At 44.0% G+C, this 17,697-nt stretch overlaps 1 protein-coding gene and 1 long non-coding RNA gene across 12 annotated transcripts in view; one reads left to right on the top strand and one right to left on the bottom strand.

The window, feature by feature from the left end:
- TSHZ2-AS1 (TSHZ2 antisense RNA 1) overlaps nt 1-15,815 on the top strand; it is a 72,348-nt gene extending 56,533 nt beyond the window's left edge. The window contains exons 5-6 of one of the 2 annotated variants that reach the window (NR_187667.1): nt 509-572; nt 12,793-15,815. This is a non-coding gene — a long non-coding RNA (TSHZ2 antisense RNA 1). Of the gene's footprint in view, nt 1-508; nt 4,704-12,792 lie in introns of those variants that run through there. The other variant, NR_187666.1, reaches the window with a different exon arrangement.
- The window catches only part of TSHZ2 (teashirt zinc finger homeobox 2), a 522,973-nt gene that overhangs the window by 47,545 nt on the left and 457,731 nt on the right, over nt 1-17,697 (bottom strand). For 5 of the 10 annotated variants that reach the window (XM_047439875.1, XM_047439874.1, XM_047439873.1 and 2 more), the window contains exon 3: nt 3,398-3,535. The exons of the other annotated variants lie outside the window; for them this stretch is intronic. The gene's annotated coding sequence lies outside the window, so the exon portion shown is untranslated. The remainder of the gene's footprint in view (nt 1-3,397; nt 3,536-17,697) is intronic. 10 annotated transcript variants of the gene reach the window in all.

The following is a 17,697-nucleotide window of genomic DNA, read 5'->3' as shown; positions in this document are numbered from 1 at the left end:
TGGTAAACTTGCCACACATCCATAGCATCAATCCAATCATGAGAGGACATCAGATAAACCCAAAGTGGGAGACATTTCACAAAATCACCAACCAGTGTTTATCAGAAGTGTCAAGCTCATAAAAGACATGGAATGATTGAGGGACAGTCACAGATGGAAAGGGAAGGACACACAAGAACTAAATCCAATGTAAGAGCCCAAGTTAGGTCCTGAAACAGCGTAAGGACGTTTGGATAAAATTCAGATAAGATCTGTGGTTTGGTGACTAGTATTGAGCCAGTGTTAATTTCCTGCTTGTGATAATTGTACCATGCTTAGGCAAGACATTAGGGGAAGTTGGGTTAAGGGTATGCATAAACTGCGATTTTTTGCAACTATCTTGAAGTCTAAAAGTATTTCAAAATAAAAGGTGTAAAAAAGGGAAGGGAGAGCAATCAGACACATTTCCATGGGATTTATTAAGTGGCAGAAGAACAGGCCACTAATCAGTTTCTCCTTCTTGCACCAGCCTGTTTAGGAAAAGACTGGAGGAATTCGTGGAGGAATTCTTGGAGGGGGAACACTGAAGTCCGGTGAGTGGTCCTACAAAAACACTTGAAGGGATTGAGTTCCAGCAAGAAGAGGAGATTGGCATCTAATTTCCTGTTGGGTTATGCTTATGCAGCAGTCTCTGATCTATATTCTGTGACTATTGAGAAGGAGCAAAGGCTATTGGAGGAAGGTGATGGAGTGAAAAAGGGAAAGCAGTTGAGCTTCCTACATGCTCCATGCTGTGGCAAGAAAAAAAATGTGTAAGTTTCCACTAGGTCAAGAGCTGTCTTTTTGCTTATGGGGTCCAGCCCTAGAGGGGAGGAAGGCTCTTAGGGGCAAGAGAGTGAAGGGTGAACCATGAGTGGGGCAGCTGTTTAGGTTAGAAGTTAGAAGTCTTCCTGAATGGAACTCATCTCCCATGTTAGGAGCTGGGACTTCTGTAGACCCCATTTGTGCCCCCACTAGAGAGTCAGTCCCTGGATACCTGCCTTACCAGGGGCATCCACTGGCAAGAGATGATTGCAGTAGCATTTCATCAATATGAGAATTTATGAATTCATGTCCTTCTTTCCACCAACACCCATCCAAGGAAAAGGAGGTGTAAAAAAGGAGGAAGTAGAGAAGAGTGAAAAAGCTGACCTTGTTTTTCCTTCTCTCTCTTTTTTTTTTTTTTTTTGCGACAGAGTCTCGCTCTGTCACCCAGACTGGAGTGCAGTGGTGCGATCTTGACTCACTGCAAGCTCTGCCGCCTGGGTTCACGCCATTCTCCTGCCTCAGCCTCCCGAGTAGCTGGGACGGACTACAGGTACCTGCCACCACACCCGGCTAGTTTTTTTTTTTTTTTTTTGTATTTTTAGTAGAGACGGGGTTTCACCGTGTTAGCCAGGATGGTCTCAATCTCCTGACCTCTTGATCTGCCCGCCTCGGCCTCCCAAAGTGCTGGGATTACAGGCGTAAGTCACCGCGCCTGGCCAAAAGCTGACCTTCTATTCACTTCCTGTTTCAAGGATGGGACAACTGGAGGGATAGCTCTTTCATCCTCCAGCAGGCTAGTCTGTGTATGTTGTAATAACAATGGCAGAGGTTCAAGCTCTTTTCAAGCCACTGCCTGCATCACATCTGCTTGGAGAAAGCAAGTCACATAGCTGAGCCTAGAATCCAAACGAGAGGACACCACACAGTGACATGATCAAGGGCATGAATACAGAGCGGGTAAAGTACTGGGGTTGTTGGTGCATCTACCACAGCGGTTGTGGAGGTAAGTGGAAGAGGTGGGACCAAACCAGGTTTGGCTTGCCTCTGAGGCCTGTGGTCTTCCTCTAGGCTCAGCTGGCTCCCTTGTACCCTTGGATACATCTTACATGATCAAGGCACGTGTTCCAAGTAGGACAATGGCATGACATATAGATAATACAAGGTCCAAAGCTAACAAAGTTGCTCTTTGGGTTCCCTCTCCCCTGGTGGGTTTCATTTCCTGAGTGCATTAGTGTCTTTGCTGCTTTGGCAGAGAGCTGAGCTGATTCTTGGGATTGTACTTCTGGAGACTGGCCAGTTTGCACAGTTCCAGCATTGTCGGCCAGCTCAGACACCATATGGACCAGTGCTGTGGCATTGGGTACCAGGCTTTCCTGGACATCTTCGAATTGGCCACTTTCCATTGCCAATGAGTAGAGTGCTCAAAAAAGTCAGTTAAATTAGGCTTGGTAAAGGGACACTGCATCTTTGAGTAATGAGGTTGGGAAACAGGGAAAACATTTTCCACTAGCTCATGGCTCACTGTATGGCATTCCGGTTTCATGACACTTCATAATAAATCATTGCTTATCACTCACATGGGAACGGAACATGGCTCCAGTTAAGATTCGTTAGTGATTGTAAAGAAGCAACGTGGATTGCTGTATATCAGGACTTCTTGATCATCTTCCTGTCCACTGTAGGCACTTTTCTATCGTTATATTTACCGTAACTGTTGTTTAAAGCATAAATAAGTGGAAGGAAAGAGCACCCAATATGAATCATGAAAATAAATTTATCTTATTTATGTGTTTATGCAAGCATTTGACAATTATTCTGCACAGCAGTTTGCATCCAGGATTGGTAGCTGCTGCATTCAGAAAAGTTCCTTACACTTCAAGTTTCTCCCTCTCATCCCTCCTGCCTTTATTTTTTTAATAATGTGAAATGCCAGCACATTCACATTCAAGGATGGGAGGCCCTGGCATGTGTTTTATTCAAGTTTGAGGCATCAGGTTACTGAACCACATCGGCCTCAATGCTCATGACAGAGGCCTACCAGCAGACATGTTCGTTACATGCAATTCATTCAGAGCTTGGAGGAGCAAGGGACAGTGATTTAGAATAGAAAAAGGAGCCAGGGGTTGGGCTGGGGGGCCAAGTGGCAAAATAAAACCTTTAATTTAAAGATGCTCCAGCTGGTTGGCCACTTGGGATGAATGAAGACTTTGGTAGGAAAGTCCTAGCTGTCCAAGCAGACCACCCTGGGAGGTTTGTGATTTACACACCAAAGGTTACAGGGCTTGTGGACACTTTGACATACCCTAGAAACTTCCCGGGCTAGAATGTCCACGGAGAAAAGACTCAGCGGGTTTGCACAGTTGAGGAGGCTTTCAGTGTTTACTTACGGATGAACAGGAAAACACAAGCCTGTCCTTGAAATGCTGACAGGGCTCTCGTGATTAACTCCTGCCAAATTGATTTCCCTAGCTCCCCTCCCACATGTGTGGGCCTCTCTCAATCCCTTCCTGGTGATTCCCAGCACACTGCAGTACCGGCACTGGAGGACTCACTCTCTCCTTTTCTTGCCTGTTCCCTCGGTGCCCACTCCTCCCCTGTCCCCGGCACTCACCTAATAGAGACACAGTTGGGAAAGGGGTAGCCACCAGTGGCTCTCTCACTAGTGTCCGTGGAGTTGAGATGGAGCCGTGTGTGGAGGGAGAGCATTGTCTGGCAGCAACTTTTGTTTCTTGAGAGTTTCCAGAATATGCTAGAATGTGCGACAGAGAACCACGACTAATCAGCAAACAGAGCTCAGAATGGAAGATGGAGAAGGTTCTCAGGGAAACTGGGGCTTCAGTGAACCATGACCTGTCCATTTCTTGGGCTGAAGAGGAGATTTGTTCAAACATAGGGTGACTTCTCATCCTGGTTTTAGTCCCTTGTCCTGGGAAATGCCTCAGTCCCGGGAAAACGATGATGGCTGGCCACCGTACTTAAACTCTAGAGAGACGATTCCCAGGGACGCGTTCCCTCTCTCCAAACCTCTCTTCAGTGTTGATGGTGCCTTGGTTCCCCCATCCACTCTGCGAATGCCCTTGGAACACACCAGGCCTAGCTCTCCACGGGTTTCAACAGGCAGTAGCCACCATTGGTGGAGAGACTTCTGGGTCTCCAGCTTCATGGGTACTTTCAACTAATTATCTCTGCTCCTCAGACCTACCCTACAAAGTGTGTATAACTGGCTCATTTTACGGATGCAGAAACTATGGCTCAGAGGGCATTCAGTGATTTGTTCAAGTTCTCCCAGCAGAGCTACTTGGGTGTGACTGCCAAGCCCCTTCCCTCATGGAAATGATGTACATTCACAGCCATTAACTTGCTTTAAGCCTTAGAATGACATTTGAGCATGGGTGAGACAGATGATACCTGAAGATCGGAGAGGCTAGGTAGCTTAATCAAGGCCACCCAGGGCTCATGGATGGAAGAATCGGGGTTAAAGGATTCTAAATCTATGTTGCCCTTTGCATGGACATCTCTTTCTTCCTTCATGTGGAAGAAAATGGAGGCCAGAATTTCTTGAATTTTTCTCCTATTTAGAGTTGATCAAGATGCAGTCTAAACTGTCCCAGTTCATATTTGAATATTTTAAAGTGTGTTGATTATACATTAAAACGGTACTTCCCATGTTTTCTAAATATTTAAAAGATCCCTCTTAAACATCATGGCAGAAATATTAAGCTCACTTATCAGAGTTATAAAGGCTTTTAAAATATATATATTTCATGGCATTTCAAGCAATTGATCACACCAGTTGGGGGAAGACAAGAGGGTGACCACTTGTATGCAGAAAAAAAAATACTGGCAAGAAAATGTGGCAAGTGCTTCCAGTAAAGACGCTTCTTTGGAATTAAATGGTGATGGATGTTTAGAAACCAGTCTCAATGCAAAACTGTAATTTTTGCAAATGGTTGTGTCTTGGGATGGCATTAACATACTCAGTGTTCTCTATAGAAACGAGGACATGCTATTAAAAAAGCATCCAGTTCCTGCACACAAACTGAAGTTTGATCTTAAGCGGGATGAGATATTACTGCAAATTGGTTTTTACTTCAAAAACGGTTTAATAACAATCACGCCCAGAGCTCAAGTGCACACAATGCATCACTTAATTTCATCACAAACCTCTGCCGGCTTAAAAACAGATATCGAAACGGGGGAATACATATTTGACAATGTTGTTAAGGCAAGTTTGCTAACGCTTTTTGAACAACCTCCAACTGAGGCCTAAATGCCGGCAATATCCATAAACAACTCTAGAATGCCCAATTAGGGAGACAGAGACATAGCGTCCTGTCAGGGAGATTTGCATGGCTAAGAGTCTGAGATCACAGAGCGATGAGCGATCTCTCAGAGTGATGGGGGGTTCGCAGACAGATGACTATCATTACGATATTACGGGGACTCACACCTTCCCGATTACTGGCAGGATTCATTAATTACCACCGCATTTCCCTAATAGAATCCGTGCACTGGCTTATCAGCACCTTCCCTCTGTCTACCTAAGCCCCCGCTCAGCAGTCGATCACCTATGAAAAATTAGACAGTGCAGCTTCGAGTGGCCTATTTAAAGGAAAAAGAAAAATGAATATGGGAAGAGGAGGGGGAAAGTGCAGAAAAGAGAAGTCCAAAGCAACAGACACAGCATTCTTTTGACATGGGGTTTGCTTTTCCTTTTCTTCCTGGAACTGGCATGGAAGGAGATTAGTGGCGGTTGCAGGGAAACATACTGTGGAGAGTATGGGTACAGAACTGTCTCCTTTACACACACGTACACACACTCATACATTCCCTGCTTAAAATCTTCCTTTATATTTTCAACAAATACAAAATAAAATCTAAATTCCTGCTCATTCCTCTAACCTCATCTACTCCTTCTTACCAGCTAAGCCCCACCTACGCAGGCATTCTTTCTGCCCAACCCAACACACTCAACTCATGCCTGCCTCAGGAGCTTTGCACCTGCTGATCCTTTTCTTTAGAATATGGCTTGGATAGGTCAAATTCGGCTTGCAATTTGTTTCTGCACAGCCCTCGAGTGGAGAGAATGTTTGCACATTTAAAGGGTTATAATGAAAAGGCTGGGAGTGATGGCTCACGCCTGTAACACCAGCACTTTGGGAGGCTGAGGCGGGTGGATCATTTGAGGTCAGGAGTTCAAGACTAGCCTGGCCAACATGGCAAAACCCTGCCTCTATTGAAAATACAAAAATTAGCCAGGCAAGGTGGCACATGCCTGTAATCCCAGCTACTCGGAGGCTGAGGCACAAAAATTGCTTGAACTTGGGAGGCAGGGGTTGCAGTGAGCTGAGATCGCACTACTACACTCCAGCCTGGGTGACAGAGCGAGACTCCATCTCAAAAATAAAATACGAGGCTGGGCGTGGTGGCTCACGCTTGTAATACCAGCACTTTGGGAGGCCGAGGTGGGCGGATCATGAGGTCAGGAGATTGAGACAATCCTTGCTAACAAGTGAAACCCCATTTCTACTAAAAATACAAAAAACAAAACAAAACAAAAAGAAAACCTAGCCGGTTTTGGTGGCGGGTGCCTATAGTCCCAGCTACTTGGGAGGCTGAGGCAGGAGAATGGCGGGAACCCAGGAGGTGGAGCTTGCAGTGAGCCGAGATCGTGCCACTGCACTCCAGCCTGGGCAACAGAGTGAGACTCCATCTCAAAATAAATAAAATAAAATAAAATAAAATAAAATAAAATAAAATAAAATAAAATAAAATAAACAAATAAATAAGGGTTATAATGGAAAAAAAAGGAAGAAGTAAAGCAGCAGAAGTTTTACTGATGGCTGAGATAGAACAACTTTCCAGATCTTCTCAAGATTGGCTTCTCACCACTCAGGTCTCCCATGCCACCTCCCTAAGAAATTGGGGAACACCCAATCCAGAGCAGCCTGTAGTTACCTTCTACACTCAATTGCTTAATTTTTATTGCAGCACTCATCACCAATAAACATGTATTTGTTGTATTTGTTAGTCTGTGACAATGGTTCTCAGCCCTGGTTGACCATGTGAGTCACCTAGAAAGCTGCTAAAAATACTGATGCCCAAACCTGCCTCAGGGCCTTTGCACTTGCTGGTCTTGTTTTTTCCCAACGTGGCTTGAGTGGGTCAAATGTAGTTCACAGCTTGTTTTTGTGCAGCTCTTGAGCTAAGAAAGTGTTTGCATACTTAAAGAGTTGTAATGAAAGAAAGGAGTGAGAATAATTTGATTCAATCAATTGAGGTTGGGACCAGGCATTGATACACATGTATTTTTAAAGCTTCCTCCCCAACTCTACGGCACAGCCAAACTTGAGAACCCCTGGCTATTGTCCGTTTCTCCCCACTGGAGTGTTGGCTCCACGAGATCAGGAATGTGGCCTGTCTTCCCCACTGCTGTGGTCCTGGAACTTAGAACAATGCCTGAGCCTGAGGAGGTGCTCTGTCAATGTTTGATGAATGAATGAAAGAATATTTATCATAGATACGAACAAAGAATTAAGGACGACAGAAATGTGACAATGACGTAAGGTCTCCCAAGCTGAAATGATGCATCAGAAATGGGTGACAATTCCAGGAACCCCCTGCAATTGCAGAAGGCTCAGCTCCATTAGGGATAATGGAATGTGTGTCTCCCAGGCTGCCCTCTTGTTACTATCAACAGCATTATCAGTTATCAGCTGCTTTTACAATTACGCACCATGATTCTCCCTGCGTGAAGATCCCGCAACCACCAAACTCGCTTCTCCTTTTAAATTAAATATACTGAAAAGAGCAGAGATTTCAATCCTTCATCTGTTCACAGATGAAAAAACATTTCCAAATCGTCAGTGATCACATTTTTTTTTTTTTAATTCTAAGGACGGCCAACTGTTCCCAGTGATTTCGATTACATTTCCTACCTATTATTTCATGTAATGGCATCCCTTAAATTTTAAATTAGCTTTGAAGAATAAAAATAATTGAATTCCTGCTGTTTTGTGTACATAGAGGGTGACAGGAGCTAATGTGATAATTTAAACTGTAAATGAGTCTTCACTTTGTGTTCATTAATTACAGCTAATTACTGAATTACAAACCTTCTTGGTTAGGCACTGTTATGTATTCATGTAGCATGTTGAATCTCCAGCTGGTATAAAACTGTTTTATAGACTTACAAGCTGACACACCAAGCTACCACTGAAACAATTCAGTTTGAAAACAAGGGGGGTGGAAACACCCAACTGCAAAGTCTTCTTGGAATTAAAAGAACAGACACAGCGCTTCCAACTCATATCTTTGGGAATAGAGGATCTTGCACGTATAATTAGAACAATTTATGCCACAGGGAAAAAAAAAGCTAGGCTATTCTTCACTCTGGGTGAGAATCTATACTATAGCATGTAATTTGTGAGACTCAAGTGTTCCTGTCCTTATCTCCTTGTTCCCTAGAAACTGAGCATCATAATTATTTATTAACTGATCCTGCTTTTAATAACAAAGAAGCATAAAGGATGCCAGAAATCCTGCCCAATTTTCATGACCAGAAATGGCTAGAAAGGGAGGATTCCAACAGACAGGTCAAGGACTTGGTCACGGCCAATTCTCTCTTATTAGGTTAAAAATTTTTTTTTTAATAGTGAGCTAGGCACTTTGGATTATTAAACATTAGTATCTTCTGCATTATTACTGACTCCAGATGGAAGGATTTGTGATGTCTGGTTTCCTAAGATACTCCCTAAAAGAGCTGGAGAAATACTCAAAATGATGTGTGATCTCTGCTTGGCCAAATACAGTATAACTGTGAGTGTCAGAGGAAGACATGTGCAAAGTCAGTAGGTACATTTTAAAGTCATACTCTTTGTTTATTCATTTATTTGATAATTTTGTTGAGCATGTACTTTATGATGAACAAAATGCTAGGCACTATGAATTACCAAGAAATGAACAGGCAGGAACTGTATAACTGCCATAAATAATTGTTGTTTCCTTCAGGCGACAGCCCTAATTTTTCTTTTTTTTTAGAGATGGAGTTTCACTCTTGTTGCCCAGGCTGGAGTGCAATGGCGCGATCTCAGCTCACCGCAACCTCCGCCTCCTGGGGTCAAGCGATTCCGCAGCCTCAGTCTCCCTAGTAGTTGGGATTACAGGCGTGTGCCACCACGTCTGGCTAATTTCGTAATTTTTGTAGAGACGGGGTTTCATCATGTTGGTCAGGCTGGTCTCGAACTCCTGACCTCAGATGATCCACCTGCCTTGGCCTCCCAAAATGCTAGGATTACAGGCGTGAGCCACTGCACCCAGCCCAGCCCTAATTTTTATTTGGGGATCCACTGCTTTCTCATTTTTAGGTCAGGGGATCCCATAGGGCTCACCCCACTTCCAAGCTACAGGGCTGGGCATGTGACCCAAGTCTGGCCAATCAGCATGTTCTATTCTCCTAGCCACAGTGATTGGTCCAGGGATGAGCACACGACCCTAGGTAGTCCAATGAGAGATTTCTTCCTAAAAAATAAATTTTCTTATTATGACGGCTCAACTTGGGGCTGCTGGAGGTTTCTGAGCCACCACATGAAAATTATGCCCTTGCAGGCTGGGCTTGGTGGCTCACACCTGTAATCCTAGCACTTGGGTATTGCCTGAGCTCAGGAGTTGGAGACCAGCCTGGCCAACATGGTGAAAGCCCATCTCTACTAAAGTACAAAAAATTAGCGGGGTGTCGTGGCGGGCATCTGTAGTCCCAGCTACTTGGGAGGTTGAGGCACAAGAATTGCTTGAACCCTGGAAGCAGAGGTTGCAATGAGCCGAGACTGCACCACTGCACTCCAGCCTGGGTGACAGAGTGAGACTCTGTCTCCAAAAAAAAAAAGAAAAAAAAAAAAGAAAGAAAAGTACACCCAAGTACATCCTTCCAGGAGATTTGAGAGGCTGTGTATTAGTCTGTTTTGCGTTGCTATAAGGGGATACCCGAGACTGGGTAATTTAGAAAGAAAAGAGGTTTATTTTGGCTCACAGTTCTGCAGACTGTACAAGAGGCATAGTGCTGGCATCTGCTTCTGGCCAGCCCTCAGGAAGCTTTTACTCACTGCAGAAGGTGAAGGAGGAGCAGGCACATCACACGCAAGAGAGAGAACAAGAGAGAGAGGGAGAGGTGTCACACTTTTTTTACAGTCAGCCGTGGTGTGAACCAACAGAGTAAGAACTCACTCATTTCCACAGGGAGGACACTGAGCCATTCACGAGGTATCTGCCCCCATAACCCAAACACCTCCCACTGGGCCCCACCTCCAACATTGGGGATCACATTTCAACATGAGATTTGGAGGGGACAAAGATCCAAACCATGTCGGGTGGAGAAGGCCAGATTTCCAGTGACACCACTTAAGCACTGGATCTAGCATTGCCTGAATCTGTTGCACCCTTGACCTTCCCAGGAGCCAGTAAAATCCCTCTGTGCTTAAACTGGTTTGAGTGGATTTTTCTTTTTTCTTTTCTTTTCTTTTCTTTCCTTTTAGATGGAGTCTTGCTCTGACACCCAGGCTGCAGTGCAGTGGTGCAATCTTGGCTCACTGCAACCTCTGTCCCCCGGGTTCAAGCAATTCTCCTGGCTCAGCCTCCAGAGTAGCTGGGATCACAGGCACCTGCCACCATGCCTGCCTAATTTTTGTATTTTTAGTAGACACAGGGTTTCACCATGTTGGCCAGGCTGGTCTTGAACTCCTGACCTCAAGTGATCCATCTGCCTCGGCCTCCCAAAGTGCTGGAATTACAGGCGTGAGCTACTGTGCCTGGCCTGAGTGGATTTTTCTGTCATGTGCAATCCATAGTCCTAACACACACGTGATTATAAATCAAGGTACAGATTGACACATGTCATATAAGACGTGAGAGAATATTCTGGAGGTGCCCAGAGGAGGGCATACTCTTTTCTAGGTTAGAAAAGAAAGAGGATACCAGGAGCCTTTCTGGAGGAGGTGGTGTTTGAGCAGGGCTTTGAAATATAGAAAACATTCATATGAAAGAGACAAGGAGGACAATGGGAGCAAGAAGATGGAATTCCAAAAAAAGCATGAGGCTTATCCTGGAATCACACAGAATTGCTAGGGCCAAGAGTAAGTGAACAGGAGGAAAGGAGGCTGGGTGGAATGGCTCACACCTGTAATCCCAGCACCTTGGGAGGCCGAGGCAGGTGGATCACTTGAGGTCAGGAGTTTTAGGCCAGCCTGGCCAACATGGTGAAGCTGTGTCTCTACTAAAACTATAAAAAAAAAATTAGCCGGACGTGGTGGAAGATGACTGTAATCCCAGCTACTGGGGAGGCTGAGGCAGGAGAAGTGCTTGAACCCGGGAGGCGGAGGTTGCAGTGAGCCAAGATCCCACCACTGCACTCCAGCCTGCATGACAGAGCAAGGCTCCATCTAAAAAAAAAAAAAAAATAATAATAATAATAATAATAATAAATAAATAAAATAAGCCCTGGGGCCAGATCCGTGGCATCTTCTGTCTAGGTACGTCGTCCACGGCTTCAGATGTAGAAACACAGACACACCGCAGGGCACTGTGTGTCCTTCCCTGGGCAGCCTCTGAGCTTCTGGGTTTGGTTTTGTGAATTTTAACTTTATGGCGACTTTGGGCAGGATCAAACTGACTAGCGTAGTTTCTTGGAGATAAAAGAAAAGAAGGCACATTACCTTTCATCGTTAAGCCTGAACAGGAGAATCCCAGAGATCTCCCATAGAGAGAGTTTCACCCTGAGCCCCAGCTTTGGAACCATCATAGCTTGCTCTTTGAGTCACCAGGTGTTGCCAGATACTGTGTTAAATACTTCAACAGTGGAAGCACAAAAAACAGCCCAGCCATAGAAACCATCACTGAGTGCTCACTCTATTCCAGATACTGCACTACGCCTGATGATCATAACAATATGTTATCATTATTGCTATCATTGAAAAGAAAAATTGACGGAGCACTTGTTACGTGCAAGGCACTGTGCTCAGTGCTTTTCTTGCATTGTCTCAGTCCTGTGAGGTTGGGGTATTATCATGCCCATCTTAGACACGAGGAAACTGAGACACAGGGTGATAAATAACTTACTAAAAGTCACACACTTAGCAAGAGGGAGAGCTTGACCTTGAGCTTGCATAAAGCTGCTTTCCAAATAAATGTTCTTACAGCCAGGTGTGGTGGCTCATGCCTGTAATCCCAGCACTTTGGAAGGCTGAGGTGGGCAGATCACATGGTCAGGAGTTCGACACCAGCCTGACCAATATGGTGAATCCACGTCTCTACTAAAAATACAAAAAATTAGCCAGGCGTGGTGACACGCGCCTGTAATCCCAGCTACTCAGGAGGCTGAGGCAGGAGAATTGCTTGAACCTGGGAGGCAGAGGTTGCAGTGAGCCAAGATCGCGCCACTGCACTCCAGCCTGGGCGACAGAGCAAGACTCTGTCTCAAAATAAATAAATTAATTTAAAAAAAGTTCCCTGTTACCATGCTATAATGCCTTCCCTTATTTTGTTTTTTCACATAGATACGTTTTCAACTTTTATGTAAAGTTCTTTCTGCAATATGTGCTCATTACCCGGGGCGGGGGAAAAACAAAGAAGGAAACAGTCATCTTAGCAGTGCTCCAAATCACCCTCTTGTCCTGGTCTCAGTGAAGTCTTTATTGCTTCTTCTGCCAAAAAGTTTCCTGATGGTCTTGCTTGTCTTTGCATCCATTAGCATCTTGCTCTAGAATCTGACACAGGACCTTGCACACAATTGGTACTCAGAAAATAATGGTTGAACTGTGCTGCAAAGAAATAAAATTGTTCCTTATCTAAATTTTCTAACAACCAGCATGGTCTCCAAACCAACAGGGAATTCCCTTAAGAAAGGGCCAGATTTCTGATTCCGAAAGCTTCCTGTCTTTTTTGTTGTTTGGGAATATCATGTATCTTAGACTTTTTTGGTTTTGTTTTCTCTCTTTTATATTCATGGGCATTCAGAAATACTATGTGAAAAGAAAGCACATGTTCTCCTTTTCTGGCTCGGAAGAATTTTGGAGTGGATTTAGGCAGACCAGTCTGAACAAACACGCTCGAGGAGCTGAGGCCCGTCAGCACACGCTCAGCAGCTGTGCATCCAGATCCGCGTGCTCTCGGCTTGGCCAAAGCATTGCAAACAACTGAAGTCCTTGCTGCCAGGCAGATGGTCACAGGACTGTCAGCAGACCCTGAGAGACCTCAACAATGCCCACAAACTCTAAACAAATCTACGCAGAGTCTAATGGTGTCTGCTTGCTTTGCGGCTCTCCAGACTTCCTAAGTTCTGTTTGGTTCTGTGTGTTTGTTGTAGCTGGGAGAGCAGAACTGACCCTGATAACCACTACACGTAGAAAACAAGTCTAATATCCCCCTAACGGACAACTCAAGTGTCTTTCTTGACTACATGTGGCCTTCATGAAAACGATCTTCCTTATGATTCTTCCAAAACCTATTTCCAGGACCACATAGTTTAGTACTTAGTATTATTTTGTCTTGCAGTACTGGTAGACTACTTCTTATGAGTTACTCTTGTCTCCCTTATTGTATTGTCAGCACCTTAAAAGCAAAAACAGTGGCTTGGGCTTGGGTTCAAGGTCTAGATCCACCTCTTCCAAGCTGGGTGACCTTAAATTTGAATGATGATAATACCTGGAGGGTCATTGTGATGATTACATGAGATAATGTATGTGAAACACTTAGAATTCATGGGAAATACTCAACAGGTTATTCTTGTGGTGGTGGTAGTAGCAGTAATGATGATTATGATTACATTATTAATACATTCCAGCTGGGTGTGGTGGCTCGTGCCTGTAATCCCAGCACTTTGGGAGGCCGAGTAGGCAAATCACCTGAGGTCAGGAGTTCAAGATCAGCCCAGCCAACATGGTGAAAACTCATCTCTACCAACAATCCAAAAAAATTAGCTGAGCATGGTGGCATGTGCCTGTAGTCCCAGCTACTTGGGAGGCTGAGGCAGGAGAATTGCTTGAACTCGGGAGGTGGAGGTTGCCGTGAGCCAAGATTGCACCACTGCACTCCAGCCTGGGCAACAGAGTGAGATCCCATCTCAAAAAAATGCATTTCATAAAGCCCATTTTATTTAGGAAATTTTTGGCCAATACTGTATCTAGTCAACATTTGATGATCAATTAACAATTGAGAAAGATAAACAGATTTCCAGTCAATTGCTGGTTACAGGATGAGAAAAGACTGGGGAGAAAAGGTAAAAAGGACTGACAGAACATTCTTGCTACTGGATTAGTCCCTGGGACAGATACCATTAGTTACCTACGGAATATCCATTTCACTCTTCTTCCTTGCCAATAAAATTCTGTGTGTGTGTGTGTGTGTGTGTGTGTGTGTGTGTGTGTCTGTGTGTCTGTGTGTCTGTGTTGGTTTGTTCTGCTTCTTTTTATAGACAGAGTCTTGCTTTATTGCCCAAGCTGGAGTGCAGTGGCATGAACATAGCTCACTGCAGCCTTAAACTCCTAGGCTCAAGCGATCCTCCACCAGCCTCAGCCTTCTGAGTTGCTGGGACTACAGGTGCATGCTACGACACCCATTTAATGTATGTTTTAAACTTTTTGTAGAGACAGGGTCTCTCTTTGTCCCCAAGTTTGGAATGCAGTGGCATGATCATAGCTCACTGCAGTCTAGAACCCCCATGCTCAAGTGATCCTCCTTCCTTAGTGCCTCAAAATGCTGGGACTATAGGTGTAAGCCACAGTGCCCGGACAAAATCCTAGTTTTGTTTTCTGTGACAGTGTGCCCAGTTAAATATGTCACAGCATCTTGCAGCTAAGGATGACAAAATTACACAGTTTGGCTGAGGAGGTTCATGTAGAATTCTGCTGGGTTTCCAAGAAAGATTTGCTCCTCTGAGAAGAGGGGCAAAGGTAGCTAGTACTGTTATTTCACTCCTTTTCCTACCTTGAATGTGGACATGATGCAGCCATCTTGCAGTTGTAAGGCAATGATCAAAAGACTCACAGAGACATCTTCTAATCCAGATGTCAATTAGTGATTAACATCACTAATCCATTGACTCAATGCCATTGTTGCCTACTTCTGGATGTTGGGATGGTGAGAAAAGAAAATCTTGATTTATTCAAATCACTATAAGTAAAGCTGCCTTTTATTTGCAGCCTAAAGCATTCCTAACTTAGAATTTTCTTAAGTAACAAAACTTCAGAAGCCCAACTGAAAAAAACAAAATTCTCATTGTGGTTTTAATTTGCTTTTCCCTGATGATTAGCAATGTTGAGCATTTTGTCACCTTACCCCAGCCAGAATGACTATTATTAAGAAGTCAAAAAACAATAGATGTTGGCATGGATGTAGTGAAAAGGGAATGCTTATATGCTGCTGATGGAAATGTAAATTAGTACAATCACTATGGAAAATAGTATGGAGGTTTCTCAAAGAACTAATAATAGAACTACTATTCAATCCAAGAATCCCACTACTAGGTATCTACTCATAGGAAAATAAATTGTTATATCAAAAGGCACCTGCACATGTATGTTTATCACAGCATAATTCACAATTGCAAAGATATGGAACCAACCTAAGTGCCCATCAACTGATGAGTGGATAAAGAAAATGTGGTATTTACACAGCATGGAATACTACTTAGCCATACAAAGAATGAAATAATGTCTTTTGCAGCAACTTAGACAGAACTGGAGGCCATTATTCTAAGTAAAGTAACTCAGGAATGGAAAAACCAAATGCCATATGTTCTCACTTATAAGTGAGAGCTAAGTTATGGGTGAGTGAAGGCATGCAGAATGGTGTAATGAACACTGGAGACTCAGAAGTGGGGAGGGTTGGAAGGGAGTGAGGAAAAAACTACATTTTGGGTACACTACTCGGGTGACCAATGCACTAAAATTTCAGACTTGACTACTATATAATTCATCCATGTAACCAAAATCTGTGTATACCCCTAAAGCTATTTAAATAAAAAACCCACAAATTCTCCAGATTTGCATGAATGATATGCAAGAAGTGACAGCTATAGGCTTCCTTTACTAACTCAGTAACAGCACACAGAACCATGGGAATAACAGCTAATGGTAATAATTGACTGTTATTTACGTGTTTTTATTATGTGTATTTTCTGGGCCACATGCAACATATTACTTGGCACATAGTAGACACTTAGAGAAATATCTTAAAATAGGTATGAAAGAAAGCATAAATAATAAATCACACATTCCCATCCCCAGCTCCACAAAATGGCTTATTCTCTTCCACCTTCACCATGGATTTGTTTAACTTATTTTCTTCTCTCTTTTTATAAATGGGAATAATAATAATTCCTACCTCACAGGGTTGTTGTAAATATTCAATGAGTTGCTACAGGTAAAGAGCCTAAAACAGTACCTGTCCCATAGCAAGTGCTCAATATGTAGTAGGGATTGTTATTATTACTAGGTGGCAGGTGGTGTGCTAAGTGCCTTTCTTTTCTTCTTCTTCTTCTTTTTTTTTTTTTTTGAGACAGAGTTTCATTCTCATCACCCAGGCTGGAGTGCACTGGCGTGATCTCAGCTCACCACAACCTCTGCCTCCTGGGTTCAAGTGATCCTCCTGCCTCTGCCTCCTGAGTAGCTGGGATTACAGGCATGTGCCACCACATCTGGCTAATTTTGTATTTTTAGTAGAGATGGGGTTTCGCCATGCTGGCCAGGCTGGTCTAGGACTCCTGACCTCAAGTGATCTGCCTCGGCCTCCCAAAGTGCTGGGATTACAGGCATGAGCTACTGCACCCAGCCCTAAGTGCCTTTCCTGCATTGTCTTAGTGATGTTAATACAGGGAGTGACAGCTTCATGATTTTGGACAAGTCCATCTCATGTTCTGGATTTCAGTTATCCACATCGTAAAATGTGAATTAAAAACTAAATCAGGCCTGGCACAGTGGCTCATGCCTGTAATCCCAGCACTTTGGGAAGCTGAGGCAGGTGGATCACCTGAGGTCAGGAGTTCGAGACCAGCCTGGTGAAACACTGTCTCTACTAAAAATACAAAAATTAGCTGGGCGTGGAGACGCATACCTGTAGTCCCAGCTAGTCGGGAGGCTGAGGCAGGAGAATCAGTTGAACTCGGGAGGAGGAGGTAGTGAGCCGAGACCACGCCACTGCACTCCAGCCTGGGCGACAAAGCAAGACTCCATCTCAAAACAAAAACAAAACAAAACTAAACTAAACTAAACTAAATCAAATCAGTGTTTCCTAAATTTCTCGCTTTATTTAAAAAATCTTTTATTATTTTTTCTTTTTCCTTTTAGAAGAGATGGGGTCTCACTATGTTGCCCAGGTTAATCTTGAATTCCTGGGCTCAAGTGAGCCTCCCACCTCGGCCTCCCAAAGTGCTAGGATTACAGGTGTGAGCCACTGCATATGGCCCATAAACTTCTTTCTCTCACATATAACCTTCTTGATTTCTGATTTCTTGATTTCTGCCACAGCACTATCACCTGTATTCTCTCTCTATTTTTTTAATATAATATTTTTCTTTAATTTCTGTAACTTTAAAAAGCTTTATCCTTGGCCGGGTGCAGTGGCTCATGCCTGTAATCCCAGCACTTTGGGAGGCCAAGGCGGGTGGATCACTTGAGGTCAGGAGTTTGAGACCAGCCTGGGCAATGTGGTGAAACCCTGTCTCTACTAAAAATACAAAAATCAGCTGGGTGTGTTGGAGGGAGCCTGTAGTCCCAGCTTCTCGGGAGGCTGAGGCAGGAGAATCGCTTCAACCCTGGAGACAGAGGTTGCAGTGAGCCAACACAGGGCCACTGTACTCCAGCCTGGGTGACAGAGTGAGACTCTGTCTCAAAAAAAGAAGCCTTATCCCCTTAAGCAATAATG

The sequence above is a fragment of the Homo sapiens genome, chromosome 20 (genome assembly GCF_000001405.40).
Source record: "Homo sapiens chromosome 20, GRCh38.p14 Primary Assembly".
NCBI lineage: Eukaryota > Metazoa > Chordata > Mammalia > Primates > Hominidae > Homo > Homo sapiens.
Note: the sequence above shows the minus strand (reverse complement) of the source record. Positions and strands in the feature narration are given on the sequence as shown.